Below are 8,395 nucleotides of genomic sequence, written 5' to 3'. Positions count from 1 at the left end.
TCCTCTTTTATTTCCTTGAGCAATGGTTTGTAGTTCTCCTTGAAGAGGTCCTTCACATCCATTGTAAGTTGGATTCTTAGGTATTTTATTCTCTTTGAAGCAATTGTGAATGAGAGTTCACTCATGATTTGGCTCTCTGTTTGTCTGTTGTTGGTGTATAAGAATGCTTGTGATTTTTGTACATTGATTTTGTATCCTGAGACTTTGCTGAAGTTGCTTATCAGCTTAAGGAGATTTTGGGCTGAGACAATGGGGTTTTCTAGATATACAATCATGTCGTCTGCAAACAGGGACAATTTGACTTCCTCTTTTCCTAATTGAATACCCTTTATTTCCTTCGCCTGCCTGATTGCCCTGGCCAGAACTTCCAACACTGTGTTGAATAGGAGTGGCGAGAGAGGGCATCCCTGTCTTGTGCCAGTTTTCAAAGGGAATGCTTCCAGTTTTTGCCCAGTCAGTATGATATCAGCTGTGGGTTTGTCATAAATAGCTCTTATTATTTTGAGATATGTCCCATAAATACCTAATTTATTGAGAGTTTTTAGCATGAAGGGCTGTTAAATTTTGTCAAAGGCCTTTTCTGCATCTATTGAGATAATCATGTGGTTTTTGTCTTTGGTTCTGTTTATATGCTGGATTACATTTATTGATTTTCGTATATTGAACCAGCCTTGCATCCCAGGGATGAAGCCCACTTGATCATGGTGGATAAGCTTTTTGATGTGCTGCTGGATTCCATTTGCCAGTATTTTATTGAGGATTTTTGCATCAATGTACATCAAGGATATTGGTCTAAAATTCTCTTTTTTGGGTTGTGTCTCTTCCCAGCTTTGGTATCAGGATGATGCTGGCCTCATAAAACGAGTTAGGGAGGATTCCCTCTTTTTCTATTGATTGGAATAGTTTCAGAAGGAATGGTCCAGTTCCTCCTGGTACCTCTGGTAGAATTCGGCTGTGAATCCATCTGGTCCTGGACTTTTTTTGGTTGGTAAGCTATTGATTATTGCCACAATTTCAGCTCCTGTTATTGGTCTATTCAGAGATTCAACTTCTTCCTGGTTTAGTCTTGGGAAAGTGTATGTGTCCAGGAATGTATCCATTTCTTCTAGATTTTCTAGTTTATTTGCGTAGAGGTGTTTAGTATTCTCTGATGGTAGTTTGTATTTCTGTGGGATCGGTGGTGATATCCCCTTTATCATTTTTTATTGCATCTATTTTTCTTTCTTTTTTTCTTTATTAGTCTTGCTAGCAGTCTATCAATTTTGTTGATCCTTTCAAAAAACCAGCTCCTGGATTCATTAATTTTTTGAAGGGTTTTTTGTGTCTCTATTTCCTTCAGTTCTGCTCTGATTTTAGTTATTTCTTGCCTTCTGCTAGCTTTTGAATGTGTTTGCTCTTGCTTTTCTAGTTCTTTTAATTGTGATGTTAGGGTGTCAATTTTGGATCTTTCCTGCTTTCTCTTGTGGGCATTTAGTGCTATAAATTTCCCTCTACACACTGCTTTGAATGCATCCCAGAGATTCTGGTATGTTCTGTCTTTGTTCTCGTTGGTTTCAAAGAACATCTTTATTTCTGCCTTCATTTCATTATGTACCCAGTAGTCATTCAGGAGCAGGTTGTTCAGTTTCCATGTAGTTGAGCAGTTTTGAGTGAGATTCTTAATCCTGAGTTCTAGTTTGATTGCACTGTGGTCTGAGAGATAGTTTGTTATAATTTCTGTTCTTTTACATTTGCTGAGGAGAGCTTTACTTCCAACTATCTGGTCAATTTTGGAATAGGTGTGGTGTGGTGCTGAAAAAAATGTACATTCTGTTGATTTGGGGTGGAGAGTTCCGTAGCTGTCTGTTAGGTCTGCTTGGTGCAGAGCTGAGTTCAATTCCTGGGTATCCTTGTTGACTTTCTGTCTCATTGATCTGTCTAATGTTGACAGTGGGGTGTTAAAGTCTCCCATTATTAATGTGTGGGAGTCTAAGTCTCTTTGTAGGTCACTCAGGGCTTGCTTTATGAATCTGGGTGCTCCTGTATTGGGTGCATATATATTTAGGATAGTTAGCTCTTCTTGTTGAATTGATCCCTTTACCATTATGTAATGGCCTTCTTTGTCTCTTTTGATCTTTGTTGGTTTAAAGTCTGTTTTATCAGAGACTAGGATTGCAACCCCTGCCTTTTTTTGTTTTCCATTTGCTTGGTAGATCTTCCTCCATCCTTTTATTTTGAGCCTATGTGTGTCTCTGCACATGAGATGGGTTTCCTGAATACAGCACACTGCTGGGTCTTGATTCTTTATCCAATTTGCCAGTCTGTGTCTTTTAATTGGAGCATTTAGTCCATTTACGTTTAAAGTTAATATTGTTATGTGTGAATTTGATCCTGTCATTATGATGTTAGCTGGTTATTTTGCTCGTTAGTTGATGCAGTTTCTTCCTAGTCTCGATGGCCTTTACATTTTGGCATGATTTTGCAGCGGCTGGTACCGGTTGTTCCTTTCCATGTTTAGCGCTTCCTTCAAGAGCTCTTTTAGGGCAGGCCTGGTGGTGACAAAATCTCTCAGCATTTGCTTGTCTGTAAAGTATTTTATTTCTCCTTCACTTATGAAGCTTAGTTTGGCTGGATATGAAATTCTGGGTTGAAAATTCTTTTCTTTAAGAATGTTGAATATTGGCCCCCACTCTCTTCTGGCTTGTAGAGTTTCTGTTGAGAGATCCGCTGTTAGCCTGATGGGCTTCCCTTTGAGGATAACCTGACCTTTCTCTCTGGCTGCCCTTAACATTTTTTCCTTCATTTCAACTTTGGTGAATCTGACAGTTATGTGTCTTGGAGTTGCTCTTCTCGAGGAGTATCTTTGTGGCATTCTCTGTATTTCCTGAATCTGAATGTTGGCCTGCCTTGCTAGATTGGGGAAGTTCTCCTGGATAATATCCTGCAGAGTGTTTTCCAGCTTGGTTCCATTCTCCCCGTCACTTTCAGGTACACCAATCAGACGTTGATTTGGTCTTTTCACATAGTCCCATATTTCTTGGAGGCTTTGCTCGTTTCTTTTTATTCTTTTTTCTCTAAACTTCCCTTCTCGCTTCATTTCATTCATCTCATCTTCCATTGCTGATACCCTTTCTTCCAGTTAATCGCATCGGCTCCTGAGGCTTCTGCATTCTTCACGTAGTTCTCGAGCCTTGGTTTTCAGCTCCATCAGCTCCTTTAAGTACTTCTCTGTATTGGTTATTCTAGTTATACATTCTTCTAAATTTTTTTCAAAGTTTTCAACTTCTTTGCCTTTGGTTTGAATGTCCTCCCGTAGCTCGGAGTAATTTGATCATCTGAAGCCTTCGTCTCTCAGCTCATCAAAGTCATTCTCCATCCAGCTTTGTTCCGTTGCTGGTGAGGAACTGCGTTCCTTTGGAGGAGGAGAGGTGCTCTGCTTTTTAGAGTTTCCAGTTTTTCTGCTCTGTTTTTTCCCCATCTTTGTGGTTTTATCTACTTTTGGTCTTTGATGATGGTGATGTACAGATGGGTTTTTGGTGTGGATGTCCTTTCTGTTTGTTAGTTTTCCTTCTAACAGACAGGACCCTCAGCTGCAGGTCTGTTGGAGTAGTGCGCCGTGTGATGTGTCAGTGTGCCCCTGATGGGGGGTGCCTCCCAGTTAGGCTGCTCGGGGGTCAGGGGTCAGGGACCCACTTGAGGAGGCAGTCTGCCCGTTCTCAGATCTCCACCTGCGTGCTGGGAGAACCACTGCTCTCTTCAAAGCTGTCAGACAGGGACATTTAAGTCTGCAGAGGTTACTGCTGTCTTTTTGTTTGTCTGTGCTCTGCCCCCAGAGGTGGAGCCTAAAGAGGCAGGCAGGCCTCCTTGAGCTGTGGTGGGCTCCACCCAGTTCGAGCTTCCTGGCTGCTTTGTTTACCTACTCAAGCCTGGGCAATGGCGGGCGCCCCTCCCCCACCCTCGCTGCTGCCTTGCAGGTTGATCTCAGACTGCTGTGCTAGCAATCAGCGAGACTTCGTGAGCTTAGGACCCTCCGAGCCAGGTGCGGCATATAATCTGGTGCACTGTTTTTTAAGCCCGTCGGAAAAGCGCAGTATTCGGGTGGGAGTGACCCGATTTTCCAGGTGCCGTCTGTCACCCCTTTCTTTGACTAGGAAAGGGAACTCCCTGATCCCTTGCGCTTCCGGAGTGAGGCAATGCCTCGCCCTGCTTCGGCTCGCGCACGGTGCGCGCACCCCCTGTCCTGCGCCCACTGTCTGGCACTCCCTAGTGAGATGAACCCGGTACCTCAGATGGAAATGCAGAAATCACCCGTCTTCTGCGTCGCTCACGCTGGGAGCTGTAGACCTGAGCAGTTCCTATTCGGCCATCTTGGCTCCTCCTCTAGGCTAACACTTCTTTACTCGATATTTCACAAGTCTTCCTTTAAATGAGATTTTAAACAAATCTATTTGTTTGTGTGTCTTGAGAAATGCCGATGTCAGTAGATATAAAAAATAAAAAGAGGAAACATCTCACAACCATATAAATGCTGTGTGTGTGTGTGTGCGTGTGTGCGTGCGTGTGTGTGTGTGTGTGTGTTTATAATGCATTTACCTTAGTGAAGACTGAGAATTTCTATAGTAAAAAAATCTATTTAACTTCGATTAACCTAGGGTTTTTCCAACTAATTTGAGGTTGGTGGTTTTTTTTCTCAGAATATCTGTAAACATTTCTTAGTATCTTAGTGTTTCGTAAGACACATTTAAGAAGAACTGATGGCCGGGCACGGTGGCTCACGCCTGTAATCCCAGCACTTTGGGAGTCCGAGGCGGGCCGATCACAAGGTCAGGTGGTCGAGACCAGCCTGGCCAACATTGTGAAACCCTGTCTCTACTAAAAATACAAAAATTAGCCTGGCGTTGTGGCACACGCCTGTAGTCCCAGCTACTCGGGAGGCTGAGGCAGGAGAATTGCTTGAACCCGGGAGGCGGAGATTGTAGCAGGCCGAGATCACACCACTGCACACCAGTCTGGGCGACAGTGTAAGACTTCATGTCAAAAAAAAAAAAAAAAAAAAGAAGAAGCACTGATAAAGCATAACAAGATTTAACTACTTTGTATCATATTGGAACTATGACCCAGATCTAATAATATTTATAAAAGCATTTACCTATATCCCTTTTTCTAATTAAACATTTTAGTAGTCTCTCTTCTTATATTCATATTCTTTATAAATTTTCTTCATTAAATTGAAGGGTGATAGATAAGAATTACTCCTTACTTTTATTAAAGAATAATTTTAAAAGGCAACGTTGTAATTCTCATACAAATTGTGTTCAAGATCTTATCTCATTAAAATGAACATGTGTTCAAGATCTTATTTAACTCATAATTAATGAGTGAACCAGTAAGATGTTGCAACCAGTTCAAAGAATTCAAAAGATACACACGTAAAAGTAATCAGGAATGTTGAAAAAATAGCGTCTCCACTGGGAACAATTCATTGGCATTTTTATCGAAGAAAATCATTTGTATTACTAATTTTTCTACAATTTACATAGCCACAAAATGGCTTAAAGACAGGGAAAGGTAGAGATAACCCAGAAAGGTACAGGGCACCCAGTAATCACTTTTTGCCCATTTCAAAGTATTTCACAATTTTACTGACAGTTTCAATGTAAAACAACCTCACTGAATTTTATTATTATTTATAATAATAATAATATTTGTATTTATTACCCTTCTTAAAACCTACATTCTGTCTGCTGAGTGCTTATATTATTGAGTAGTTACTGTATACCTAATACTGGTACTATGGTTTGGATATTGTTTGCTTGTTTCACCAAATCTCATGTTGAAATTTGATCCCCAGTGGGGAGTGTTGGGAAGTCTTAGTGGGAGGTGTTTGGGTCATAGAGGCAGATCCCTCACAAATGGCTTGGTGCCCTTTTCACAGTAGTGTGTTTGTTCTTGCTCTCACAAGACTGGATTGGCTCTAGGGACTAGATTAGTTTGCCCAAGAGTAGATTGATATAAGGCCAGGTTGTCCCTTGGATTTGGTCCCTCTTTGCCAGGGCCCACTTTCCCTTTGACCTTCTCCATCATTTTTAGATGCAGCATGAAAAGCCCTCACCAGAAGCTAAGCAGACGCTGGTGTCATGCTTCTTGTACAGCCTGCAGAACCATGGGCTAAGTAAACCTCTCTTTTTTAAATTACCCAGCTTCAGATATTCCCTTATGGAAACACAAAATGGACTAAGACACTATGCTAAATGCTTGCATGTATTAGTTCCCTTAAACCTTACAAGCAGGATAATATTGTATTGCCAGATGATGCTAAGACTCAGAGTGATGTAAGTGTTCAAGATCACACAGAAAATAAGAAGTGATACTCAGTTTGAGAAACCGATTTCATACTCTTGACCAATCTGTCAACCTGGATGTAGTGCTTAACCTATGTCTTACATATAGCAAAACAAATTCACCTAAAGTTTAGCATGGACATCAATCTTATTGAGAAAACATGCCTCAACAACAACCTGATAACCTATCCATTTCCAGACCTTAGCTCTCTCTTAAGACAAATACTTACATCTTCAACTACCTCTTTAACATCTTCATGTGGATGTCTAATGAACATCTGGTTTTCCTCAGCCTCGTATCCTATCCATCAACAAATTTCAACATCTCTTTTTCCAAAATTTATTTCAATCTCATCTACTCTTCTCTGTCTTCATTGCTACTTTTCTGGTTTGCTCAATCATTATTTCTCTCCATTAGTAGTCAGATCGTATCTAGACGATGGTAAAATAATGGACCAAAACAAAACTCTTTTATTGTTTTTAATTGTTTTGGGTTATTTGTTTACATTGCCCAAGCAGCCAGTTGAAAATGAAAAATTTAGTCAAATAATTTTTTCATTGGGTTTATTCAAATTCAAATAATGGCTTTATTTATTGATTGAATAATGGCTAGTATGATTGCTTTTGTCAAACAGATTGACTCAACTAGTTATCTGGAATACCAGTTCCCTAAATTTAGGAACAATATCTTATTCCTAATGTCTTTTTATTTGAATCTCCAAGCTTAAAGCCAAGCATATAGTGGGACTTTCATCAAATCACATTGATTAAATGAAATGCTATATTAGATGCAGGTCCAGTTGATTGTTTCTTCTGCTTCATGGTACATCTAATCAATTATAATATGTATAAGTCAGCCATTACAACCAATGAAAAAGAAATTTCAAGGGCTAATTTAGTTGTTTTTTTCAGGCAGTTGCAGATGTTAGGACCTACATGGTAGGTAATTTTAGATAATTAAAAAGCTAATTCACTATAGCCAAGAATTGCAAGATCTAATTTGTAACATTCATGATGGAATATTTAAGTATAGTGTTTTATTAAATAATGGATGAACTTCAAGGATAGTGAGGGTTGACACACTTTTAGTGAGACTGCCTACTTAAAAGTAGATGTTTATAAAAAATTAAATTTCTATTTTTACAAAATAATTGACTCATGGAGATTCAAATCGATATTTTGATCCATTGACTATGGGGTCATAAGATTTCTTCAAGATATTTTGGTACATTTTTTAAATATTCCAGAAAAAGACATCAACTCTTCATAAAATAAGAATGAAGCTGTCAATATTATAATGTAAGAGATGATAAATAAACTTCAAAATTTATTTTAATTTTAAAGGAAAAACTGAGATCATAAATTAAGTCAAGGTTCAAGGCAAAGAGTATCAGGGCTGGGACCCAGAATCCAGGAACAAGGTGACAGCATGGAGCAAGGATGAAGCCAGAAAAGCCGAGTGGTATCAGTTCTTATGTTCCAAACCAAAAGGCACAACATATGATACAACAAATCTAAGTGTACCTCATGGGGCACAGCAGGACGGCATTTTGGGTCTGGATTGTTCTGAAAGATCTGAATATATGGCTGTCCTAAGAACAAAATCAACATATCAAGATAGTAACAGCTAAAGTTAAATCAACAAAAGTCTGCAATTTGTATCAAGGGCACTGATAATAGCAGTCTTATCTTCCAAATGAAGTCTTCTAGAAAGTAAGAAATCTAGAAAGATTACTCATCCTTTATCACGCATTATCCACATTTAAAAGATCAGCCTTGACAGCCACTCAATCACTGAGAGCAATTTTATTTAATTTGTAGTAATAAAGAGCATTAACTGATGAAGACACTAAACAATTGATCTAATAGGAATATATGATTCTAGCAACTAAAATTAAATTTGCATAAAATATTTTATTACTGTATAAAATGAAGTCTCATTGTATTAAATGATAACAACCTGACTCAAAGCAATTGATGACAGCAGTAGGAATAATACCTACATTTATCTGGTCATTGTTATGGGCCGAGCACTATGGTACGTATGTTATCTGATTTATTTTTTAAAGTAGCCC

General features: G+C 39.1%; 1 annotated feature.

Moving 5' to 3' along the window:
* Positions 3,469 to 4,083: an enhancer, noted in NCBI's record as "NANOG-H3K27ac-H3K4me1 hESC enhancer chr18:25820685-25821299 (GRCh37/hg19 assembly coordinates)". NCBI's record gives its function as "activates a minimal SCP1, AML or CMV promoter by ChIP-STARR-seq in naive H9 embryonic stem cells {active_cell/tissue: H9 hESC(naive)}" and the evidence as "EXISTENCE:reporter gene assay evidence [ECO:0000049][PMID:30033119]".

This window comes from Homo sapiens, chromosome 18, assembly GCF_000001405.40.
Source record: "Homo sapiens chromosome 18, GRCh38.p14 Primary Assembly".
Lineage (NCBI taxonomy): Eukaryota > Metazoa > Chordata > Mammalia > Primates > Hominidae > Homo > Homo sapiens.
Note: the sequence above shows the minus strand (reverse complement) of the source record. Positions and strands in the feature narration are given on the sequence as shown.